A 25,344-nucleotide genomic window follows, 5' to 3' on the forward strand; every position below is an offset into this window, starting at 1 on the left:
TCTCCACATTCTCCCATTTGTTCTTCATTCCCCAATTATATATTTAGCTTTTACACCATACCATTTTCTTATTTCTCCAGGTGCTGCTTATTTTTTCAGACGGTCTCCAGAGTGAAAGCAACATAATGCTTGAAAATCAATCAGACAGGCTCAGAGAAGCAGGTATTGAGTTGTTGTTGTTTTTTTTTTTTTTTTTTTTGAGATGGAGTGTCAGTCTGTCACCCAGGTTGGAGTGCAGTGGCACGATCTCAGCTCACTGCAAGCTCCACCTTCTGGGTTCACACCATTCTCCTGCCTCAACCTCCTGAGTAGCTGGGACTACAGGCGCCCACCACCACGCCCAGCTAATTTTTTGTATTTTTAGTAGAGATGGGGTTTCACTGTGTTAGCTAGGGTGGTCTTGATCTCCTGACCTCGTGATTCACCCGACTTGGCCTCCCAAAGTGCTGGGATTGCAGGCGTGAGCCACCGCGCCCAGCCGAGTTGAAAATTTAAACAGTGAAGCATGGAATATGCTTAACAAGTCTCTACCTTTACTCAGATGCTGTAGATCTTGAGATCTGCCTAGCTACTTGTAGCAGAGGCTGTTGATACCTCATCTAATCCCCGTTGACCAGCCCTCACACTCCTCCCCAAAATGCTGCAAATGCTGTGGCCAAGTGCTTAGACTTATGACCTTCTATATAGACATGTGTCCTTGACTGATCTGAACCATGTACCTGGACGTGCTTGGAATGGGTGTGGGGTTACCATGCCCCACGTTGGTGGTGGGGGCAGGGGCAACTATGATATAGGGATACAAAAGCCTGGCACTCTTGCTTAAATGGGTCAACTCTAGTACAATTTGCATTCCAGAGTCCCTCATGAATCAGGCAAAGGCTAAGAATTTACTGAGATGTATCCCTGGTTACAACATCTCCTTCCCTTTTCTGCTCTCTCAATATAGACACCACATACATACAAAATCCTCTTTCAGATTCCAGTTCTAGGGAACCTGACCGAAGACAGCTCCTACTGTTCCTTCTTTTCCATATGAAAGATAGCAACGTGGATTTGGAAAAGCACTTCTCGCTATATATTTTCTGTCCATGTCATAGCTTCAAACTGAGCCGGAAGCTAAATGCAGAAGTTGAGAGTAGGATGCAGCAATGGAAGACTCCGTTAATTGTCAAATGAGATGCATTGTTTAAGAATTCCTTGGTGTAGCCCAGACTGGCTTCTAGGGTTCATCTTCCACAGGCAACCTCCCTAAAGACCACAATATGTCCTGTTTTATTGCTCAGTTGTGTCTCTTTCTCTGCACAGTTCCCTTCAATACCTTCTCATTGTTCTTGGGATATAGATCAAATTCCTTAACATGGCTTGGGAGCTTTGCAGAACCTGGCCTTTGCTTGCCATTTCAGCCTTAACTCATTTCTTTCTTTTTTTTTTTTTTTTTTGAGACAAAGTCTCGCTCTGTCACCCAGGCTGGAGCGCAGTGGCCCGATCTTGGCTCACTGCAAACTCCGCCTCCCAGGTTCACACCATTCTCCTGCTTCAGCCTCTGGAGTATCTGGGACTACAGGAGCCTGCCACCACGCTTGGCTAATTTTTTTTTATTTTTAGTAGAGATGGGGTTTCACCGTGTTAGCCAGGATGGCCTGGATCTCCTGACCTCATGATCCGCCCACCTCGGCCTCCCAAAGTGCTGGGATTACAGGCACGAGCCACTGCACCTGGCCAACTCATTTCTTATATTCAGTGTTCCAGGCATATGAAACTATTTTTTCCCATTCTTCCCATTCTTCCTGTAATGAGATATATATATATATATACTTTTTTAGATGGATTTTTGCTCTTGTTGCCTAGGCTGGAGTGCAGTGACACAATCTCAGCTCGCTGCAACCTCTGCCTCCCAGGTTCAAGCGATTCTCCTGCCTCAGCCTCCCGAGTAGCTGGGATTACAGGTGCCCACCACCATGCCTGGCTAAATTTTTTTTGTATTTTTAGTAGAAATGGGGTTTTTCCATGTTGTTGACCAGTTCGCTGGTCACAAATACCTGACCTCAGGTGATCCGCCCACCTCGGCCTCCCAAAGTGCTGGGATTACAGGTGTGAGCCACTGTGCCTGGTCCCCATGTACTTTACAGCCTCACTTCTCTCCGTCCTTGCCTAGAGCTTCCTCTATCTCCTTACCTCCCCGGGTACTCTCTCCATCTTCCATCTCTGGTTCTTTCCATTGGCCAACTTACATTTATCCTTTAGAATCAGCTTCAACATCAATTTTTCCAAGAAACCTTCCATGACTCTCCAAGAATGGGTTAGGAGCTTCTCCTCTAGGCTGTCATGGAACCCTGATGTTTCTCAGAGCAACTATCTGATTCTTGACCCTCTGTTCCATTAGACCATTAACTCTGGGAAGGAAAGAAGTAAACCTGACTTATTCATTTGTATCTCTGCTATTATACAATGATTAATACATAATAGGCTCCTATTAATAATTTAAAAATTTGTTTAGTGAAAAGATGAATAAAGTCAATGAACTAGTAAATGAATTAATGAGTGAATAGATGAATTAATGAATGAACTGGATGTGGTCAGGAGTTCAGCTGAGACAATTGCCCTGGGCTTTCCTCATGTTCTCAGGGCTTGGCCTCCCAGGGGTGTTTGGAATTGGGAATAACTTGAGAATTATCATTAATGTACATTCAGGAAAATTCAGCAAAGCTCTCTGGAGATGAATAATGCCCTTTCTTAAAAATCACTTTCCCGTGCCCAAGAATTGCATGAAAATTGGTGGTAAGATGTGGAACACAGTTTTCTATTAGTGTTTTTCTGTAGATTTGTAAATCGTTTCTCTTGAATACTTTTTATCAGGGGATTTCATGCGACGGTCAGGGACCAGAGCTGGTGCATATTCAGAAAATGCAGGCAAATTCTCTGTTAGTTTCTTCATATGTCAGGAGTACTCCTTCCTCTTATGTTTGTTTTTTTCCCCTTTTCAATTCTTTAAATCATGTTCACTGAGTAGAATTATTATGTCTTCTTCTTTTTCATGTACAACCCCTTTGCTTTATTTATATTGTGGTTTTTACCACATAGGACTTGATGCTCTGCTGGTAGTGTCCCTTAACACAACTGCTCATCATGAGTTTTCTAGCTTTGAATTTGGAAAAAGATTCGATTACAGGACTCATCTGACTATTGGAATGAGAGAACTGGGCAAAAAACTATCACAGTACCTGGTGAGTTGTTGAACAAAATCCCCGGTTGTTCAAAATGCCATGGGAACTAAATTGGAATCTTGATGAGAACTTTCAAAGACTGCCTTTGTTTACCCCCACTAAATTAAGTGCTTTGTCCTTAGTATATAAAAAAGTGTGGAAGACCATAGCATAGTATTTTGTTTTTGCATGTTCTTTCATTCTTTGTCATCTCACTAAATGAATGCATAAGTAACTAAAAAACCAACCAACTCATAATTGAATTAAAAAGCCCCCAACTGTTTGTGCTGCAGAAATTCCAGGAAACAGAAGACTGTCAACTAGAAACCAACAAGTCTTAGGCAAAGTTGGGCCATGGCCATCCACATACTGGATGCCCTGTCTATAGACAGAGATCATTTCCTCTGGAGAGGCGATGTTGCCAATGCAGTGCCTGGTACCTTCTCTGCAGTGTTAAATTCAGAAAGCACCTCTTATTCTCTGCAGCCCCTCATCCAAAGGGTGAAGATGGGCGTGTAGATGGTGGATTATGATTTGTATGAGTACAATTCTTATGGAATAAAGTTTCTGACAATTGCTATTCCCTCAGCTTTACTTTTTTTCCCCCAGGGAAATATTGCAGAGAGGACTTGCTGCTGTACATTCTGCAAATGTCCAGGAATTCCAGGACCTCATGGGACCCGAGGACTACAAGCCATGAAGGTGCCACTCACCTGTGATACTATTTTATCTAATGTGCCTTGATTTGGTACAGGTGGGACTGAGACTGAGTGGTTGAATTTACAGCCTTCACTCTATGCTAATGGAATTGCTTTGGACATTTCATGTGACTTTTTTGGAATAAAATCCAGGTCAGGAGAGCTCACTTTTGATACTGCTAGCAAGAATAACTCCCTTTTCTTTTACATACCCTTGGCAATGTTGCTTCTTGGTTTTGCAATTTATACTTTTGTACCTGCTTTAGAAAGTTTGAAAGGTGGTAAGAAGTAAAAAATAGTGGAGATGAAGCTGGGTGTAGGAGCTTGCACCTGTAATCCCAGCTACTTGGGAGGCTAAGGTGGGAAGATCACTTGATTGTTCAAGACCAGCCAGGGCAACATAACGAGACCCCATCTCCTTAAAAATAAATAAACAAATAAGAGTTGTGCTTCATCAGTAACAGAATGAGATTGAACTACAAAAAGATCATAGCATTGCAGATTAATAGCCTTTTAAAACACAAATTATAAAATATTATACAACAATAGGATGAATAAATATGTCATGATATTTTCAATAAAATATGTCAATGAAAATGAATGAACTACAGCTACACACAACAACATGAATAACTTTTACTAACATGGTAATGACTAAAAAAAGCAAAACATAGAAGAATGCATGTGGTAAAATTCCATTTATTAGAAGTTATAGTATCTAGGGAGGAATACTTAACGGTGAAGTATTTTTAAAAGGCAAGAAAATATTATCAGAAGTCAGGAGGGCCCTTGTGGAGAGAGGCTGGGGGTGAATTGTGACTGGGGACAGGCACTGTGCCTGGGACCAATAATGCTCTATTTCTTGACCTGCATGGTGGCTACATAGACCTTATATATATAAAAATTATAATATTGTTCTATAAAGTTACTTTATAACAATTAAACTATACATTTATATTTTATACACTTTAATGCACTTTTCAAATGGATTTTAGGTATCACAATACAAATGAAGTTTTTCTTTAAAAAAAAGAGATCAACAATACTTGCTCATGAGTTCTGCACTGTCCATCCTTATGGAAGGACAATTTATATTGAACTTTTTACTGCACTGTGATGTTTTGTTTAGCACAATTTTCTCTCGATACTTTGCTCAGGTCAATATTAGAATTATGTTCCAGAAGCACAACCCCCCTGGTATACTGATCAGCCAGCTGGGCCTGTGTTAGAGGGTGGGGAAAGCAAACTCAAATGAAATGTTTGCCACAAGTAAGCCACAACACAGTTAAACCACATGTGGCTAAGGGAGAGATGACTGCAATTAAAATATATGCAATCTTGTTGTTGGAAGTGGTTATTCTTCCTTGAGCTCTCAAAATAGCAGGACAAAATAAAATAATACCTTTGGAAATGTTATCGGTTTGTCTGCTGAAAGGGTTGTGGCTGGTACAGCTGTCCTCCCTGCAAATCGCTCAGGTGCAGGTGTGGCTCTGTGGGTCTCATCTGCTGGTGGGTTCCAAAGGTCAGCCTCCCGCAAGCATTAGGAGGGTCACCTTCTGCAAGAGGGGCTTCAGAGCTGAGTGCAAGGACAAAAGCTAGCTCCAGATGTTGTCAGATTCTCCCCAAACTCACGGCCACATCTGCAGAAACTGCAACCAAGTTGGAGGAAGGGACTTGCTTAGAATGCCTAATGATTTCACAAGTTTGACTTTATTGGGGGGGGGTGACTAAAATGTATTGTTCTCTCTTTCTTCCCAGGGTTCTCAAGGTCTGAAAGGCAGCAGAGGACACAGGGGAGAGGATGGAAACCCTGTAAGTTTTTATTACTCCCCCTCACCCCCTGTTGCACACACACTGTACACACACACACACACACACAAACACACACTTATTTTCTTTTTCATAAAAAAAGCTTATTTTCATACAAAAGGGGTAGATGGGGTTTTGTTTATATGTTTATTTTTATATGTTGATATGTTTATTTTGTTTATATGTTTATTTTTGTGCTTTTTTGTGGGAAGAAGGGTTGCCTTTCTTTTCACTTTTCCTTGTCTGAATGATGAGGCAGTTACTAAGTCTAAGTTTGGGGTAAGGAGGGAACAGGCTTACACGTGTAGCCTGGCATGTTTTTATCAGTGGCAGATACCTGGGCACCCTCCTCTCTACCCCCAAGCAGGGCACAGCAGGTTATCTGCCAGGGAGCTCTTTTTAGACCTAAAACCCAGTGCTTAGTACATGGCTTTGGGCCAAGGCTGGAGTATACACCCTTCCATGGAAAGGGAAGTCGGCAAAGCATCCCTCAAGATGAGAGGCATGGCTTCACGGTCAAATGCTACACAGAGGTTTGCGAATCTCTGTGTTTGAAACCAGAACTCTCACTTTCTCATCAATCAAATTGTGAGAAAGAATTTGAAGAAACTGAAACCACTTAGGTGGCTCTGTTAGGGATGGAAAAATTTCAGAAAGCATCCAGACTGGATTTCTATCACCTTAGATCAAGTCCAGTTCCTCATCTGGGCAGGAAGTTTTAAGGATTGAAAGCAAAGACTCTAGAGTCAGGCTGCCAAGAGTTGGCCTAGATATGGGTCCTTGAACAAGATACCTAACTTCTTGACCCTCAGTTTTCTCATCTGTAAGCAATTATAAGTTCCTCTACAATCTAATGGCTGACCTAGTTTACAAAATGACCACTAAGGGGGGTGCTCTAAATCACCTACTCTGTACCCTCCAAACTAGCATGGGAGTGCTTTCAGTGTGGGGAATAGTGTCACCCACCTGCCTGGCTGAGCCCACCACTGGCAGAAAGTCCAGGCAATGGGAAGCCATAGGGCTAAGGTACCTCTCAGCAACCTGTGGCCATGGGCAAGGCCTCCTCCTTTTGCAGGGAATGATCCTCAGGATAAAGAAAGCAAAGCAGGACAAAGGAAAATCCTTTCTCCCTCTCTTACTGGCAAGGCAAGAATTAAGCTCATTACTAGTTAATTATTCATGCAGCAAAATGTAAGCACCTGTTATGCACCTAGACATGAGCCAGTCACAAGGGACACGATGGTGAAAGACACAGTTGGGGTTCCTGCCCTCAAAAAGCACAAAATTGTTCCTTTCTTAAGATCCATTTTACTTTAGCATTTACCTGTATTTAAATATTTCCTTGGAGAAGCAAGGTTGGTGGGAGACACACAAATCATTGACCTTCAGTGCTCACCCCTGCACGGATAGTCTGACTTTGGGGGTCTTTAACCTGGTGATTCCTCCTGTGAGGACTGGCTTTTCTCACCTTTGCTTTCTCATTCTCCTAGTAGTGTCACTTCCCAGCAACTGTTTCTACTCAGCAGCAGTACCCTAGCACTGACTTGTGGGTCTACTGTCAGCAATGCTGACTCTCCCAGTATAGCATTAGGGCCGTAGATGGATTACTGGAGTCTTGGAATGTGGCTACAAAGTGAAGCCACTGTGCTGTTTGATCAGGTAGTGAAGTGGCTGAGCTCTTCTTGCACCTTTTTGTGATCTTGGGTCTATAAAAAGCCCTGAAGGTTGACAGGAAACATGTTTGAATACAGAGGGGAAAAACAGACATAAATGAGTGAGGATTCACTTTTGAATCCTTTTTGAAGAGGATTCACTTTTTCTAAAGCTCATAGTGCCCATGTGCTTTGTCTTAACTCTGTGAAAATAAACCACTGGCAGCTTCTGGCAAAAACATCACTTTGGGTACCTGTCTGTGCTCCTTTTCTTAGGGAGTACGAGGAGACACAGGACCCCAAGGAGACAAAGGGATTGCAGGATGTCCAGGGGCGTGGGGTCAGAAGGTAAGGCTCTTCTGTAAATGTTATTTCCAATTCTCTGTAACATTCTCTCCCTCTCTTTCCCCATTCCTTTCCTCCCTCATTTTCTCTCTTCCATCACTCCTCTCTCTTTTCCTTTCTCCAGTTATATAGATGAGTTTTCCTGTCTGCAGACTAATTCTGCTTTTTAATAATATCAAGGAGTCTTTAGCATTAATAAATTGCATCTCTAACCTCTTTGTAGATGTATAGCCCGAAGCGACTAAAGAAATACATGCTCACTCACTTTAGAGAGGCAGTCTTTGAATCCACACTCTGTCTTTGATTTGTCAGTGAGAGATATTTCATCTTTTGCAGGGACTCAAAGGATTTTCTGGACCTAAGGTACTGGAGTTTTTTCTTAGTTTAATTTGATTTCCAAATGGGATTAGTTTCCGAATAAGCGTGTGGCAGAGACCTGCTTTTACCTGATGCCTGTCTATTGTCATCTCTCAGGGAGGTCATGGAGACGATGGGATTGATGGACTTGATGGGGAAGAGGTAAGCCATATTTCTTCAAGTATCATAAAACTGTCATGAGGTTGCTAAAATTTTTTTTAAGTGGGAATTTTGTTTTTCTTGTCTTCTTTTAGGGCTGTCATGGATTTCCTGGAATAAAAGGAGAAAAAGGTGATCCAGGATCTCAGGTAACACTTTTCTTTTCAATACTTCAAAGAAGGAGAATTTGGTGACAGAGACAGTCTTAACTGCTGTGTGTCAGTGGTTATAGGGGATAAAATTTACAACTGACTTAACCACATAATGAAGGCCTATTGCTACTGAATGTATGCTGCATATCTGATTGAAGCAAGGGGGTAATTATGTAATTTTAAAGAATTTCCACCTAGAAAAATTTAGCACACACAAGCTTGTTCTATGGGCATGTTTCTCATGTCTGAAAATGAATGCTTTCACCTGTCAGTGGTTTCTTTTGTTCATTTGTTTTTTACCACAACGTTTCCATCAATGTCAGTAATTTCTGTGTTGTCTTTATTATGTCAGAAAAAAAAAAGCAAGAGAAAGAGACAAAATTATTTTGGTGGCTTTGGTAGCAAATCACTGTGAAACATTTTTTAACTTTACATTTATTTCAACACTCATTAGTGTGTGCCTACTTGATTTCAAGCAGCTCTACTTTTATGTTCTGATCCATTGATTTATGAAATATTTTTGAGCACCTGTCATTTGACAGGTTTGTCATGTGCCAGGCACCTGTCATTGGCCAGGCATATATTCTTATATAATAAGAATCAGAGGTGAACCACACAGCCCTTGTCATCAAAGATCCCACAGTATAGTTGGGGAGACAGACATATCAATAGAATTACATAAAATGTGAGTGAGGCCATGTTGTAGATATCTACATGGGAGTCCAGAGAAGGGCATGTAACTCAGCCTGGGGGCAGGGGTTGTCCAGAAAGTCTTCCTGGAGGAAATGACTTCTGAGCTGAAGAGGAACAGGAATTCAGCAAGGCAAAGATGTGGAGGAAGGGCATTCCAGACAGAGGGAGTAGCATAAGCAAAAACATGAGGGTTCAGGGCACTGCCAAATTTTACTTCCTGGAGGGAGCATTAGAATACAGGTACTGGGAGGTGAGGTTCAAGAGGTGGTGGTGGGAAGAGATCAAGAGATTGGGAGGGCACTAGTGAGCCATGTGGAAGAGCTTGGTTTTTAACCGTAAGGCAATGGGGAGCCTTTGAAAGATTTTAAGCAGAAGAATCACAATCAGATTTACATTTTAGAAATATTACTTGCAGTAATGTGGACGATACTTTGCAGATGACATAGATGCAAGACAAAGATGAGAGGCAGATCTGTAGAAATCAGGTGAGAAGTGATGAAGCCTTCAAGTAAAGCAATGATAGTGAGAACAGACACAAAATATGCTAAGGGTGTAGCGGGGTTTGGACTGAAGTGAGGCTAGCAGGGCACCTAAGGTGCAAAAGGGGCAGAGTTATGTGGAGTAAATACCTACCTCCATTCTGCACCTTAGGTGCCTCTCTCATCTCACACTAGTCCTGGTTCTAGGACCTGAAATCTCCAGATATAGGTGACTAGAGGAACAGAAAATAGAGAGTCAGTCAATATGCCTGCAAGGATCCTGGCTTGGGCAAGTTTAATCGGAAATAATTAGGTTTGAGGTGACAATGGAACATGTTGCAGGAAGTCAGGGAACCCGAACAGAGGCTGAAGCCACAGCAGAAGAACATAAACTGTGAAGATTTCATGGACATTTATCACTTCCCCAATGAATACTCTTATAATTTCCTATGCCTGTCTTTAATCTCTTAATCCCATCATCTTTGTAAGCTGAGGATATATGTCGCCTCAGGACCCTGTGATGATTGTGTTATCTGCACAAATTGTTTGTAAACCATGTGTGTTTGAACAATATGAAATCTGAGCACCTTGAAAAAGACAGGATAACAGCGATTTTCAGGGAACAAGGGAGATAACCACAAAGTCTGACTGCCTGCGGGGCCGGACAGAACAGAGTCATATTTCTCTTCTTTCAGAAAGTGAATAGGAGAAATATCGCTGAATTATTTTCTCAGCAAGGAATCACCCTGGGAAAACGAATGCATTCCCGGTGTGGGGGTGGTGGCAGGGGGTGGGGGCGGGTCTCTAAAATGGCTGCTCTGGGAGTGTCTGTCTTATGTAGTTGTAGATAAGGGATGAAATACGCCCTGGTCTCCTGCAACGCCCCCAGGCTTGCTAGGATTAGGAAATTCCAGCCTGGCGAATTCTAGTCAGACTGGTTGTCTGCTCGCGAACACTGTTTCCTGTTAAGATGTTTATCAATGACAATGTGTGCCCAGCAGGACGTGGACCTTCATCAGTAATTCTAGTTTCGCCCTGGCCTTGTGATCTCACTCTGTCTCTCTGCCCTTGTGATATTTTATTGCCTTTGAAGCATATGATCTCTGTGACCCACTCCCTATTCGTACACCACTCCCCTTTTGAAACCCCTAATAAAAACTTGCTGGTTTTGTGGCTCAAGGGGCATCACAGAACCTGCCGACATGTGATGTCACCCCCAGAGACCCAGCTGTAAAATTTCTCTCTTTTGTACTCTTTCCCTTTATTTCTTAGACTAGTGACACTTAGGGAAAATAGAAAAGAAACTACGTTGAAATATTGGGGGCTGGTTCCCCCGATAGAACATCCCTGTGGAAGTTTTCAGTGGGCAATTTAATTATAGATGTTGGAAGTTGCTAGACTGGCTAGGATGTCCAATACCATAGCCACTAACCACATGTGATTATTTAAAGTTTAATTTTAATTAATTAAGAAATTCTGCTCTTTAGTGGCATTGATTACATTTTATGTGCTTAATAGCCACATATGGCTAATGGCTACCGTATTGATGAATGCAGATATAGAACATTTCCATCACTGCAGAAACTCCTATTGGACAGTGCTATGTTAGACCACGAGAAGTTTTCCAGTTTCTGAGCCTCGCTACAAATAATCCTGACCATAGGCTTAAAACTGGACTTAGTACTGCTTGAGAAGTCTGAGGGAATCTGACTGTGATAGGACAAAGAGCATTTTATCTGATTAACCCCCCTACATACAAAACTTCACACTTAACACCATTATACAAGCCTCCTACAAGCTAACTCAGAAATTCATTTCATTTTTTTCAGGGCAGCCCAGGTTCCAGAGGTGCCCCTGGGCAGTATGGAGAGAAGGGCTTCCCAGGGGATCCGGTAAGTTTCTAGGGCCCAGTTGGCTCTGAATTTTATACTTGCTCCACAGTTCCTATCTCCTTTCCCTTTGTGTTTCCTGCCTACCCTGTAGGCAAATGGTTGTCTTAGGAGTAGGGGTGATAGGTGTTGGCTGAGGCTTTGGGAAAAGTCTGTTTGTGTCTTATCTGGGTTAGGCCCATCTTCTGAATCCTTATGGTACGCTGAGACTTTCTGGTTCCTTTGGGAGAACATTTCCATAGCTTTATTTATTGGACTTCTAATCTTGCAGACCTACAGATTCACTATTTGCAGACTTAGTTACGGGGGAATCTTTTTACACCCTTGAGGGAATAGCCTAAGAATATTTGAACCAGTGCATCAGTGAAGCTGCCATCATAGAAAAGGGAAAATCACCATGTAGCAGGCACCCTTTTAATTCTTTATTTATTGCCAAATCTTCTTCAAACTTGAGGAAGTACTGCTTTGATTTTTTCCAAAATCCTGTGAGTTTCGAATATGAAAAAATTTCTCACACCTCTTATAGCTTGACCCAAATTAGCTTAGTACTTGAACATCATACCGTTTTGGGGAAAAAGCTGATATTTCTGGATTCTAAACTACTTTTAAAAATCTTTCTCTAGGGTAATCCAGGACAAAACAATAACATCAAAGGACAAAAGGGCTCCAAAGGAGAACAAGGAAGACAAGTAATTTGATCTGTTTTATCTATGAGTTGATTAATTCTGTTATTGATCCAAGTAAATTTAGTAAGATATGTAACCCTTCTGTAATTGAACAAATGCTCTTAAGACCACATTGAAAAGACCTTTATTTTTTGATGATGCATATTTGTAGTAGGGTATACTTTTAAGAGCAAAATTATGAAGTTTCTGGCAAGTGATATTATTTTGGAAAATGTAGCAGTGAATGTTGCTATACTTTTTTCTTCTTGAAAGGGCATATAACTGTTAATATGCAGAATGATCACAGCATGACATGTTTATTCTGCCATTTTAATAGTGCTTGAGGTTTTGATGCTGATGCCTTTGTGATTTATTCAGAATTTTTTCCTTTTGATCTTGAGGAAATTATTATATTTTTAGGGTAGAAGTGGACAGAAAGGGGTGCAAGGCAGTCCTAGTTCCAGAGGCAGCAGGGTAAGTATTTCTGTGGACATTTATTTCCCCTCCTTGCCACTTGAAGATGACAGAGGCATTCAGAATATTTGTTGTGCACAGTTGGCTGATTCAGGGCTGAAATATTTTTCAGGGCTTCTCCATCTTGACACTACTGAAATTTGGGGCCAATAATTATTTCTTGTGAATGGCTATGCTATGCATTGCCAGATGTTTTGCAGCATCCCTGGTCTCTACCCACTAGTATCAGTAGCACCACCCCTCCCCACTGCCCACTTGTGACATTCACAAGCGTCTCTAAATATTGTCAGATGTCTGTGGTGGATGTAGTAGTGGTGAGTTTGAGAGGCAAAATCACCCCTGGTTGAAACGACTGTAACATAGTTGGCCTTTCCCTTTCCACCTTCCAGGTGTTTTGGGATGTCTTTGAAGAGAGCCAATGATTTTGACACAAAAGCTCTCCTTTGGTAGCTTACATAAGAATACTATGAACTAGGTAAATATACTTTCGCTTTACATGTTGCCAATGAGAAAGAGGACTCACAAACAAATTCTTCCTAAATGGGCCAAAGCACTGGCAATTAGGGTCAAGTGGCAACCTTGAGGTGCTGGCATAACTTTACAGCATCCCACGTTATATCAAGCCTATCACAGCAAAAAATGGGGATATTGGACTTCCATATCTTTTTAAAAGGAGCAACCAAGAAATCGCCTTTCCTTCTGTAGACTACTGAAGCTGGAAGTGATATTTATAATGTATTAAAAACTCCTCTCTCATGCGCTCAGCATGGACATCATTAGAAGAGAATAATGGACAAAGTCCTAGATTTGGCTCTGAGTTTTGTTCAAGAAGGAATTGAAAATGCTTGGATTTCTTTTCTAGTACAAATTTGGAATCTTATTATTTTGAAGGCTGTGGCTGATTGCCCTTCTCTCTGGGATAGATGGTGAAGAAATGTGTTTTTATACCACTTGCCTTTGTTTATCTTGAACCACAATTCTTAAAGGAAAAGAGCTGGAGTTGGAAGGGGTTAGGCTTTCCAGTGCTTCTGGTAAAATTCTTTGGGACTTTGCCCTCTTCTTCACACAAGAGAATTAGAATGTAATAAGAGGAAGCAGTAGAGCAGCAAGATGAGCTAAATGCTATAAATTTTAAAGATAAGTGTGTATTTTTGTTGGTTTAAGAGGAAATACTTTTAGTTTAAAATAGCTTTATAACTGACACATCAATGAGGTACTTTAAAAAAAGAGATGCCAGGAGTGGTATAGGCAATAAATCATGGACAAACCAGCCAATTACAGGACATGAGGCTCTCGGCCCCCTCCTCATCTACCCATTTCCCTGCTGACCTCCTCCTTTGTAATTTCTTTTCTCCTGAATTAAACAAGGCAACATTGATATGAAACAACATCAGGTTTTCTCCCCTCTCCCCAACTTTCCGACGCAGAATAGAGTTCTCTGTGAGGGTGGGAGCATCTTAAGTGGATGATAAATTTTAAACAACGTAAGACAATCCAAGACATTGTCTTCTATGTGACAGAATTTCAACTTATGTAAATTAATTGTTTTACCCGTTGTTCCCAAAACAATGGATCCACACACTGAAAACCACACTGGAATCCACATTCAAGGCCCTATGCTTTTTGCCTGCCATACACAAAGAATACTTCTATAGCATCTATTTTGCACCAGGTCTTGCTCAAATCACTTTCAAATATTAATTCATTTAATCCTCATAACATACCTGTGAGGTAGATACTATTATTATATCCATTTTTCCAGATGGAAAAAATCAAGAAACCTTGGGCAGCTTGCCCAAGGTCACAAGAACTACTAAGTGGCACAGCTGGGATTTGAACTCAGTCTGTCTCCCTCCAGAGTCTGGGCTGCTAACCACACTGGGTGAGGTTTATTGGGCAATTGCCCTGTGCCACACAGGCTTTAAAGAACAAAACTGAGCTCAAGTCTGCCTGATTTTCAAGGACATATCTCTAACCATTGTGCATATAGTCTGTTACACAGAATACACATTATTTTATCCTTGCTTTTTAATGAAGACAGAATTGTGATGTTATAGGAACCGAGGCCTCAATCTTTGTTTACTGTTTCTTCTCTGCTTTTTTATGTCAAGAGCTTTGGAGATTGATTCTGGGTACAAACAGCTGAAAAGTTTCAATGGGTAACTTCTTTCAAAGAGTATTTGCATCTTAAAAGCAAAAAGTAGCTTGAATCAAGGGGCAGAACTTCAGTGGAAACATTGTAAGCAATAGCCAACCTGGTGGAGCTGATACTTGATCTGATAGTTTATTCTAAGGACCTTCAGAAGGTGGGCAGTTGAAAGAAAACAGCAGTTCCAAAATAATTTCCATGGCTACATTTCTGAATAAATGAATGAAGAAATAGAATTTTCAAAAGTACTTGCTTTTTACCTAAAGTAATCATGGTTGTTTATCACAACACTAAGTTAATTGGTGGTCGAGATGTTCCACAGCTCTCTCAAGGAGGCAAAGACAGGGTTTGAGGGGGTGATAAGAGGGTGCAAATCTCATTCTTGCTGTTTAGGGATAAGGAAGTTAGGATCTGGGGCCTGAATCCTTTTCCCATTTGGCTACCCTCTGGAAAGGAGATACAATCAGGGGCCCAGGACAGAAAGAAATGGATGTGCCACAGCTCTTCTCCCATGGGAAGGCTCTGATTAGCAGACAGTGCTTTTTGGGATTTGCCGGAGAGGGAAATACAGGAGACAGGATCTTCAGGATGATTTGATTCTCTAAACAGCCTCCTGGATAATTGTTAGAGGCTGTCAGACTGGAGCTGGGTCTGTAATGACTTTTAGATTAGTTTGCAATCAGTCCCCCAAATGTTAGTCTCTAATTAAGTGCCCAGTGTGAAAGCTTGTCTATGGAAAATGCCTCAGGGAAACTGTTTCTGTGAGCTGCTCATTACTTATGTCTAGCAGAGAATGAAAGAGGCTGATTTGCCTCAAGGAACCCCTCCATTCAGACATCCACATACTAACAGTTTGCCTTTTCTGTCCCAGGGAAGAGAAGGTCAAAGGGGACTCCGAGGTGTCTCAGTAAGTAACCTTGACTTCCTGTTCTCTGTGGTTGATGGGACCAAGGAGGTTTCTCCCATGTAGGTGGTGCTGGGAATCATATCAATGAGCATTTTACAAGGGTATAGGAAGTGCCCAGTACTGGACGTGATCCCCACTGACCCAATAATCACTGCAGCTCCCGGGAACAGAACAGACCTAAGGAAAAGCCTCCCTGATAGATACCTGGCAGACAGGCAGAACCTGTGCAATTCCAAATATTGTGCATTTGACTGCTCTTCATGTGCTTTGGGAATCAACTTCAAGAGAGAGAAATTCCTTATTGGAGTAAGAAACAAGTTTATGTTCATTCCTTAGACAGTCTAGAACTGTAAAATCCTAGGCCAAGTAGAGGGTGAGCCACAAGTCAGACAAAATAGTACCTATTTCTGATGTAAATAGTATGAAAAGAAAATCTATATGGAAACAACGTGTAGAAATGCTTGACACTGGAAACTCTTGTTCATCAGGGAGAACCAGGAAATCCTGGACCTACAGGCACATTGGGAGCTGAAGGATTACAAGGCCCACAGGTGTGTTGGAATATTTTGTAAATATTGATAAATGCTGTAAAGTTATTCTGATGGGAAGAAGGCAGGTATTTCTGTATAAAAATAAATAACTGAGAATCTGCCCCCTGCCCTATTTTGCATTCCCTATCATGGGGTGGGGGGTGATTTCATTCCATCAAACTTGCTTCGTTGTTCGTAGGTCACTAATAAGCCTTTGTAGAGGAAAGATGTGCTCTTGTGCTCACCTGGTATTGTGTCTTCTTATTAGTAATAGTGAATGATTAATACCTTCATATTACATTAATAATTAACACCAGGATCAACAAATTGGTTTTCCATAGCTGGGGTCCTGCATACACAGGCTCCCACAAAGGAAAATTAGTTGAAAGTTGGAAACTGCTACTCGACTTGCTTAAAGCTAACTCTACAGGGGTATCAGTATTTCTGAAATATGACTGATAGGGCTTTCTGTGAGCCATTTGCATCTTTCATGGTCATATCATTAGTCATGTGAGCACCGGAAGTCAGAGCATCATTGTCTTACTTCCCTCTGTGACAGAAGGGGAAGCTGTGGTCATTCTGGAGAGTAGCTTCGTAGCACATGGTTGTTTAGTCATCTTATGAAGCCCACTTTACATGAAGCCCACCTTAAGCCTGGACTCGTATGGAAGGGCCTGTGTAGCTGTGCCTATTCTAAGGTCTTCCCAGGAATTCATTATTTTCTAGAAAATTCAGGTATTAGGACCAAACTGGAATTTGGGATTCTCTTGAGTGGTTCTGGGGTCCCTGAACCAAGCTATGAGCTAGCAGTTTCTCTAGATTGGGTAGGGATGGGACCAGCCTAGATCCATTCCCAGGCTTTGGGGTGGATGTGGGGGTGGCAATGACAGTTACTTCAGATACCTCAGACACCCGTGGGTCCCTTTGACACTGAGACAGTGAATCAAGGCTCACCTGATGGCTCCTGGGCAGCCCAGGGCCAGTTCACAGCTGGTACTTCAATAGGAAGAAACGTTACTGCCACCTCTAGTTTTTGCTTCTGTGTGAGATAACCGCATGAGAACCACGTGTTTGATGGCAAATATGGCAGAAAAATAGACTTTGATTCTTCTGATAGAGGTCTGCTGCTAAGACGCCCTTTTGTGCTAACTTGAAACAACTTTACTCTCTACTTTACACATTAATAAGGGCTTTGGCTCAGGTAACCCGTCCCTTTAAAGGAATTCATCTGACTGTTGTTTGTGTCTTACTTCCTTTGCTTATAGGTTTCATTTCCCGCTTTGGCCTATTTTTATTTCCTCTGTAGAAGAGGGATGAAGGTCTTATATCCAGGCCGGGAATTCCTTAAAGAGATCTGGACCACTGAGTCCACTGGGCCTGTCCTCAATGACTCTTAATACATGCTTAATCTCAGGGTTAAAAGGCTGTGGGAAGGGCTGGACCATTGCTTTTCTGCAGGGTGTTTCAAAAGAAACACTGAGAAGTAAGCTTTCATTGACATAATTGCATTGTATTTCCTTTGTTACCACTAAAGGGGTCACAGGGAAATCCTGGCAGAAAAGGAGAAAAAGGAAGCCAGGGGCAGAAAGGACCTCAGGTGAGTGACTCGGAGACATTAGGCTCAATGACTCTCAACAGTTATTTTCCTCTTAGTGCAAAAAAATCTTCACATATAATTTTTTGTATTATTTACATATATATTATTTCATTTTTGGATTATCTGGGGCAAAATTCTAGCGCAGCTCAGATTCCTCATACGTAGCTAAAGCACTCCTCTTTCTCCTTCACTGGGGTTTTACTCTGAAAGCACAGATCCATTTCATCAGCCTAAAGAAAGCATTTGGAAGAATATAAATATTGCCCAATCATAACATTTTCTCCAAAAACTGATACATTATTCTGATTTTTCTAACTTTTAAAAGTTATACATGCCATGCACCTATGTCTCCATTCACTATAGATATTTAAAATTGACTGTACAAAGATCCCTTGCTACTCAAACCTACTTGATTCCTATGTTCACCTCTTGAATTCCCCATCTGAACCTGTTTGTTTCCTGAGAAATAAGAGTTTGAATGGTGAAGGATGTGTAGGAAAAATGTTCTAAATCTATTCAGTTCTGCTCAGACGGTGAGAGTTCACAAGGCAAGGGATACCCATATTTCTATATTCCTAGCATGTGTGGTCAGTTATCTTTCTGATAATATGTGTGTGAAAGACACGTCTGCCCATTTTTTTATTGGGAAGCTGAAACATATCCTGCATGCCGTTATGTATGCACATATGGTACGGGCACAAAGGTGGCAAAGTGTCTTCTTCTAAAAAAATCAGTGCATTATGACAATTTTCCCACATTTGGGAATAGCATGTGTTGACTCAAGGGTGCCTTTTCTTTTTCTCACTAAGCCCCGTATGGACTAGTGATGTCCCTGCAGATTAAAACATGTGGTCCTCTAACTAGGACTGGAACCTGAGTCATCTGGTTCAGCTCTGCCATCTGCTTCTCTCCTCCTGGGTGGCTGGATCTTTTGTTAAGGCTGCATCAAGGAGTTGTTGGGAATAGCATGAAGGAAAGTGAAATGTTTCTAATGGGCTTTCTAAGAATTACTACGGTGCCAACATTTTAGTCTCTAATTTTTTTTTCAGGGTTCTCCTGGGCTAATGGGAGCTAAAGGGAGCACTGGAAGACCTGGACTTTTGGGGAAAAAAGTAGATATTATTTCTGTTTTTTAATTCTTTTAAAAACATATTTTATATTTAATGGATAATTAATAATTGCATATTTTTATGAGGTACAATGTGATATTTTCTTTTTTTAAATTCTACTTTAAGTTCTGGGATACATGTGCAGAACATGCAGGTTTGTTACATAGGGATACATGTGCCATGGTGGTTTGCTGCCCCCATCAACCCATCGTCTAGGTTTTAAGCCCCGCATGCATTAGGTATTTGTCCTAATGCTCTCCCTCTCCTTGGCCCCCACCCCCCGACAGACCCTAGTGTGTGATGTTCCCCTCTCTGTGTCTATGTGTTCTCATTGTTGAACTCCCACTTATGAGTGAGAACATGCAGTGTTTGGTTTTCTCTTCCTGTGTTAGTTTGCTGAGAATGATGGCTTCCAGCTTCATCCATGTTCCTGCAGAGGACATGAACTCCTTCTTGAAAAAAGTAAATGATATTTCTTATGGATTTCAAATACCAAAGTACCTCCATTTTCTTCCTGATTTTCATGTTAATTCCTCATGTGATTGAATCCAAGCACCATCAGCAAGTCACCAGCATTCCACTAATATGTACTCTTCCTTCCATTGAGCAAAGAGTTTCTAACTGCTGACCTCTCCATGAAACTGCCCCCTTTCCCTAGGAGAGAGTGATCTCACCCATCAGAAACAACTCTAAAAGATCTCTTTCACTCCCTGATTTCCTGAATCCAAGAATGCATGTGGTTGCTGAGTTGAGTGGAGGATGGGTGGCATCAGAACTCAAATCCGTTGGTGCATGTGGTTCTCGAACCACGACTATCTCTGAGATGGCTCTGTTGGGGATCGTCAGAGAGCAAATGATTAACCTCATCGGAATCTGACTCCCCTGTTTAAAACCTTTCAATGGCCCCCTCTCCAGGGTCCTGTGACCTGTGCAGCCACACAGGTGGCCTTGCTGAGAAGAACCCCCTGATGAGTTTAATGCTCTGCTGTCATGGTCCTGAATCTCATTTTTTAAGCAAGGGGCCTGAGTTTTCCTTTTACACTGAGCCCAGCAAATTGTATCACGGGTCTTGGCTTTCCCATGGCCTCCAGGAAATATTCAAACTTTAAGGTAGTTACAAGATAAATAAATTCTGGGGAGCTAATGTATAGCATGGTGACTGTGGTTAAAAATACAGTATTGTATACTCGAAATTTTGCTAAGAGAGTAGATCTTAAATGCTGTCAACATAAAGCAAAAATAAAAAAGGAAAAGTGGTAACAAGATAAGGCAATAGATACATTACCTAACTTAACTGTGGCAATCATTATACAACATATATGTATATCAAATCATGTTGTACACCTTAAACATATGCAATTATTTGTTAATAAGGTAGGGGGTCATTTACAAGGCCCTTTGCTATTTGCCCCATTTCATTCTAAGGTTTCACTGCTTACCTCCCTCCTGCGTGCCTGCCTCAGGCCTCTCACTAATGTCTTCCCTCTTCCTGGATCACTCTCACCCCTTTCTTGCCCAGTCCCCTGACATACAACTCATCCTTCAGTCCTCAGCTTCCCTGCTCCTTTCCTTTCGGCAGCCTCCTCAGGCTCACCAAATCTGACTTAGACTCCCCTTCTGTTTGCTTCCATAGCACCCTGAACCTTATCTCACAATATTATAATTGCCTGTCTAATAATTTCTTTTTCCAGCCAGGTGAGGACAGGACCTCCCCTAATGTGTTTATTTTGCAGTTCAATAAGTAATTGTTGGATAGGCAAATGCATCAGCAAATGAGTCAACTTTCCCTGGAGTCAATTTTCTACTTTTTGTCTTCTCCTTCAGTACTTTTATAACACTGGAAAAGCAGCACACCAGTCCAGCTCTGGGCTGTGCTAGACATCTTCTGCTAGCTATGAAAAAAACATAATTTGTGCCCTACACTCATCCCCTTAGTGAGCACTGACCCCTCACTGAGAACCTTGAGTCTCCTCATCGAGTGGACAGAACTTACCGTGGTAGGAACCAGGTTTGATTTTACTGATCTGAAGCTCTTCTTGTCCCACTTACTAGGGAGAGCCTGGACTTCCTGGAGATCTAGGGCCAGTGGGGCAAACTGGGCAGCGAGGAAGACAGGTATGAAGTTTTGAAGTCCCTACCCTCCCCAGATCTGGGTATTCAGTTCCAAGGTAAAGAGAAGGGGTTGACACCTTCAGCCCAATTATGGGGGGCATGAAAGGTATTTCAGCATCTAGGAAAATGTGAGAACATTTCTCCCACCCCCTAAAGCTCTCATTCCATAGATAGTCTGTCAACGTGAAGGAGAACAGCAAGCAGGAGAATGAGGGTAGGCAGAGAGGATAATGGATGAGTTAGAACAGGGCATTTCAATACCTTAACAACCAGCATGGCCACATAGATGCATATCCGTTGAAAAACAACACTGCCCATTTCTCCTCCTTTCTTGCAAAAGTCTAAGGTGACAATAAGAGATAGAGGAATAAGGCTAAGAAATGGGGCATCACATTTTTATGCCTGCACTCTGTCCTAATGGCTTTGGCTGTAACAAGATCTCAGCTCATGGAGCAGCCAGTATAGGAACAATTATTTCATTTTTAAAAAATTAATGTTTATTACAAACGTTATACATAGATATCATAGAAAATTTACCAAGCACAAACATTTTTCACAATAGCCAAGAAAATATGGGATCAACCTAAGTATCCATCAATGGATGAATGGATAAAGAAAATGTAGTATGTATGCATAATGGAATACTATTCAGCCTTTAAAAAGAAGAAAATCTGGTCATTTGTGACAACATGGATGGATCCAGAGAACATTATGTGAAGTGAAATAAACCAGGCATGGAAAGTTAAATACAACAAGATCTCACTTATAGGTGAAATGTAAAAGAAAGTCAAAATCATAGAAACAGAGAATTAAAATGGTAGTTGCCAGAGGTGGTAACTAGGGAGATGTTGGTCAAAGTATACAAAATTTCAATTAGAAAGAAGTAATAAGTTCAAGAGATCTATTGTATATCATGGTGACTACAGTTAATAACAATATATCGTATATTTGAAAATTGCAACAACAAAAAAAGAAAAAAATAGTAAATAAACATAAGGAGCCAGAGGCTTACAGGGGAAAAAATGATTAGGGCACAGCAAGTTTCTGACTTATGGCTACACCCACAATCCATTGCCTCCATAAAGGCTTTCAGTCTTCCTTCATTGCATTTTCTATCCATAAAATTAAATGGTTGTAGAATGGTCCAGCAAGTCTTAAAAAGTATCTTTTTATGTGATCTAATTTGAAAACATGAATCTAAAAGGAAAGGAAGAAAGAAGGAAGGAAGAGAGGAAAGAAGGAGGAGAGGGGAAGAGAGAGAAGGAAAGAAAATTTACCCAGAATAAAACATAGGAAAGAGGGAAGAAAAGGAAAATTACTTATAATCCACCATTTTGAGATATTTATCATTATCATCCTGGAAATTTTTTAAAAATCACTCTAAACAATGTATCGTGAGCATATTTTCATGTCATTACATTTTTCCTCAACATCATTTTTAGTAGCTTCAAAATATTCTACTAAATGCATATAACATTCATTTATGTGACCGATATCTTGTTACTGGTTATTTAGCTTGCTTTCAGTTTTTCACTGTGGTAAACAACACAGCAATGAACATTCATGTACCTAACTAAAATTTTGGACAAAACCATAATGAATTTCTACATAGAGATTTCTAAAGTAGCATAGCTGGATCGAAGAATATGTACATGTTTCATAAAGGCTTTGAACTCCATTATGAAGTGCCCTTAGGAAAATTCAAACAGTATGTGGATCCACCTGTTATTCAGGAGAGTGTTTGTTTTAGGGCATCCACAACAACAGGTATTGTCACTTTTTTCCATCTTTACCATTGACAAAGATAGTATCTCATTGCAGGGTCAAATTTGCATTTTTTTGTTACCAGGGAGGACGAACATTTTTTTCTGTATGTCTATTGACTATTTGTAATCCTTCTTCAGAGAGTTTCTCACCTGTGTTGTTTGGACCAGCTCCTAATTTTCTAGGGAAGAAACTGCCACTGACTCCACAAGTCCTGAATGACCACCCCTCTGTTTCCTGCAATGTTTACAGAATGGAGCTGGTCAAAGAAGTACAGGGAACATATCAGGGAGTGAGGAAAACACAGCAACACAATGTTCCCAGGGTTCAAGGTCACCAATTAGGCCCCTTCTGCATGGAAGTCCCTAGTGCTTCTCTTCTGACACTGTAATCTCCCCAGTATAGATTAAAATTAATTTCCACCTTTGAGAAATTGAAAAAAACTGGTGTGTTTACACAGGGAGATTCTGGCATCCCAGGCTACGGTCAGATGGGACGAAAAGGAGTAAAGGTAAATATGGAAATCAATTATTTTTATTCATTGATGAATCAAACTAAATAATACAAGAAGAAATGTTCATACTGCAGAAGTGATATGTTGATGTATTTATGTTCTGTGCTGAAAATTATAGGGCCCAAGAGGATTCCCTGGAGATGCGGGGCAGAAGGTATTGTATGCATGACCTTTTGAAATTACCATGATCTTAACCTTCTACTTGAGAACTGAGATAAACCTGTAGGTCTGAATGAAATGGGGACAATAAGGAGAAACCAAGGACAGTTGTTTTCCTTGGGCTTCCTGAGGAAAGAATCATATTTAACCCCTGTGAATCTTTACATTGGAAAAGATTGTTCTGTCCATCATTGCCTGATGCCTCTGCCTTGAAAGCCTACCTCCAGGTATCCTCTCAAGTTCAGTCTTCTGTTCTCTTCTTGATTTTCTGCCTTGGTGATTTCATTCAATACTCTTGGCTTTGGTTATTGCTATTTGTTCTTCATTATTGTGCCCTTTATTTTCTCTCACCTGAAAGATTACAATATCCTTCTAATTGGGTTCCTCCTTCCATCTTTTCCCTGATTCAGTTAATTCCAAACACTACTGTCACTTGATTTTTTTCCAAAGCATAGCTAAATTATGCCACTTTCCTACTCAAACATCTTCAAGAATTCCTCATTGCCTGCCAGATAGAAATCCATCTTCATGCTGTAGGAACAGACATACCTTTCATCTCAACCCAAGTAGCTTAAGTTATGTCTGTTTTATACATTGGAATTCTGTAAAAAGATCTCCCTTAGAAAAAAAAGTCCAGAACAATGTCTTCTACATAAGTGATGCTTATATTAAAATACAAAATATGGGTTAAAAAGTAGAATATCTAATTAATCAAATAAAGTATAGGAAAACTGTCAACTGCTGAATCCTCTTAAAACTATTTTTAATGAATGAATTACCAAAAGAGATTCTTAAGTACAAAAGGGTGCAAAAGGGACAATATAAATCACCATTAGAAAGAAAGTCCTCATTGTAGAGGATCAATTTTCCAATTTACTGATAAAGGGAGAAAATTAGCATAATTCAACTTACTGATAAATGTGAAATAAGCATGTCGATAAATAACTGTCAAAATTTTAAAAAATCAGAATAGATTATTTTCACCTCAACTTTTTTCATAAATGTTTTATGAATTTATAAAGTAATTCATTATTTATTTCATATAGTCAATACTCCAAATGTTTTTCTGGGTTTTCAAGCATTTTCTTTGGATATTCGTAGTAACTGGATGACCACTGAATTGAAATGTATATGTAAATATTTATATTATTAAAAAATTAAAAATAGTTTGAAGAATAAGTGTACCAATGACTTAGTTCCAAATGACAGGAAAAGATGACATTTAATGTTGTATTGGCCTTCATTAATGTATGATTGTCATAATATCAATCAAGTTTGAGTCCAGAGAGTTTTTTTTTTAATTCTTTCATAGCAAATACTTTAACATCTTGACTTTTTATATCTGAATCTTCAGGGTGATATTGGTAATCCTGGAATTCCTGGGGGACCTGGACCCAAAGGATTTAGGGGACTAGCAGTAAGTAGCCTATAATTCCAGAAATGATAAATATTCCTTTGGCAGACTTTGGCTTTTATGTTATAATAATAAATGTGGATTATTGATTCAACCCAAGGGCATCTGAAATGCCACTTGCTAGCTGTGACCTTCAACACATCTTTTCAGGGTCTCTATTTCAGTAACATAAGAATTGAACTTAGTGACATCTAAGGTCACATTCAGCTCTAAAAGTTTATGGTTCAATGAATCAGTACTATTTTAAAGATTTACAAATTGATAACTTGCTGTTCCAAGAAATGTCAGTGCCTTCCAGTCTTTTCTAAGGCGCGTATTAAATCTTGGCATATTAACCCTGTGAGTGGAAATGAAGGTGACAGTGGGAAGATGTCCTTCCCACTGTGTCCCTGAAGGTTTCTGACAATTCCACTATCCATCACAAGGTCATGTAGGCTATTTTGAGGGAGGCTATTGAGATCTTCTAATTAGCAAAGTGCAAAATCGAATATTATGCTTACTTACTTAGAAGCAA

General features: G+C 40.6%; 1 protein-coding gene across 3 annotated transcripts in view, besides 1 other annotated feature; it reads left to right on the top strand.

Annotated features, from left to right (window-relative positions):
* COL6A5 (collagen type VI alpha 5 chain) overlaps positions 1-25,344 on the top strand; it is a 139,175-nt gene that overhangs the window by 52,278 nt on the left and 61,553 nt on the right. For all 3 annotated transcript variants that reach the window (NR_022012.3, NM_001278298.2, NM_153264.7), the window contains exons 10-28: positions 81-162; positions 3,082-3,224; positions 3,813-3,905; positions 5,660-5,713; positions 7,639-7,710; positions 8,044-8,070; positions 8,182-8,226; positions 8,319-8,372; positions 11,377-11,439; positions 12,060-12,125; positions 12,522-12,575; positions 15,596-15,631; positions 16,120-16,182; positions 17,696-17,758; positions 18,808-18,870; positions 20,920-20,982; positions 23,204-23,254; positions 23,376-23,411; positions 24,771-24,833. Coding sequence is in view for 2 of the 3 variants with exons in the window: in NM_001278298.2 (NP_001265227.1) it covers positions 81-162; positions 3,082-3,224; positions 3,813-3,905; positions 5,660-5,713; positions 7,639-7,710; positions 8,044-8,070; positions 8,182-8,226; positions 8,319-8,372; positions 11,377-11,439; positions 12,060-12,125; positions 12,522-12,575; positions 15,596-15,631; positions 16,120-16,182; positions 17,696-17,758; positions 18,808-18,870; positions 20,920-20,982; positions 23,204-23,254; positions 23,376-23,411; positions 24,771-24,833 (1,191 nt within the window). In the remaining variant the exon portion in view is untranslated. The remainder of the gene's footprint in view (positions 1-80; positions 163-3,081; positions 3,225-3,812; positions 3,906-5,659; positions 5,714-7,638; positions 7,711-8,043; positions 8,071-8,181; positions 8,227-8,318; positions 8,373-11,376; positions 11,440-12,059; positions 12,126-12,521; positions 12,576-15,595; positions 15,632-16,119; positions 16,183-17,695; positions 17,759-18,807; positions 18,871-20,919; positions 20,983-23,203; positions 23,255-23,375; positions 23,412-24,770; positions 24,834-25,344) is intronic.
* Positions 9,957-11,156: an enhancer, noted in NCBI's record as "CDK7 strongly-dependent group 2 enhancer chr3:130126750-130127949 (GRCh37/hg19 assembly coordinates)". NCBI's record gives its function as "activates an origin of replication core promoter dependent on BRD2, BRD4, P300/CBP, MED14 and CDK7 cofactors, with strong dependence on CDK7, by STARR-seq in HCT116 cells {active_cell/tissue: HCT116}" and the evidence as "EXISTENCE:reporter gene assay evidence [ECO:0000049][PMID:35650434]".

The sequence above is a fragment of the Homo sapiens genome, chromosome 3 (assembly GCF_000001405.40).
Source record: "Homo sapiens chromosome 3, GRCh38.p14 Primary Assembly".
NCBI lineage: Eukaryota > Metazoa > Chordata > Mammalia > Primates > Hominidae > Homo > Homo sapiens.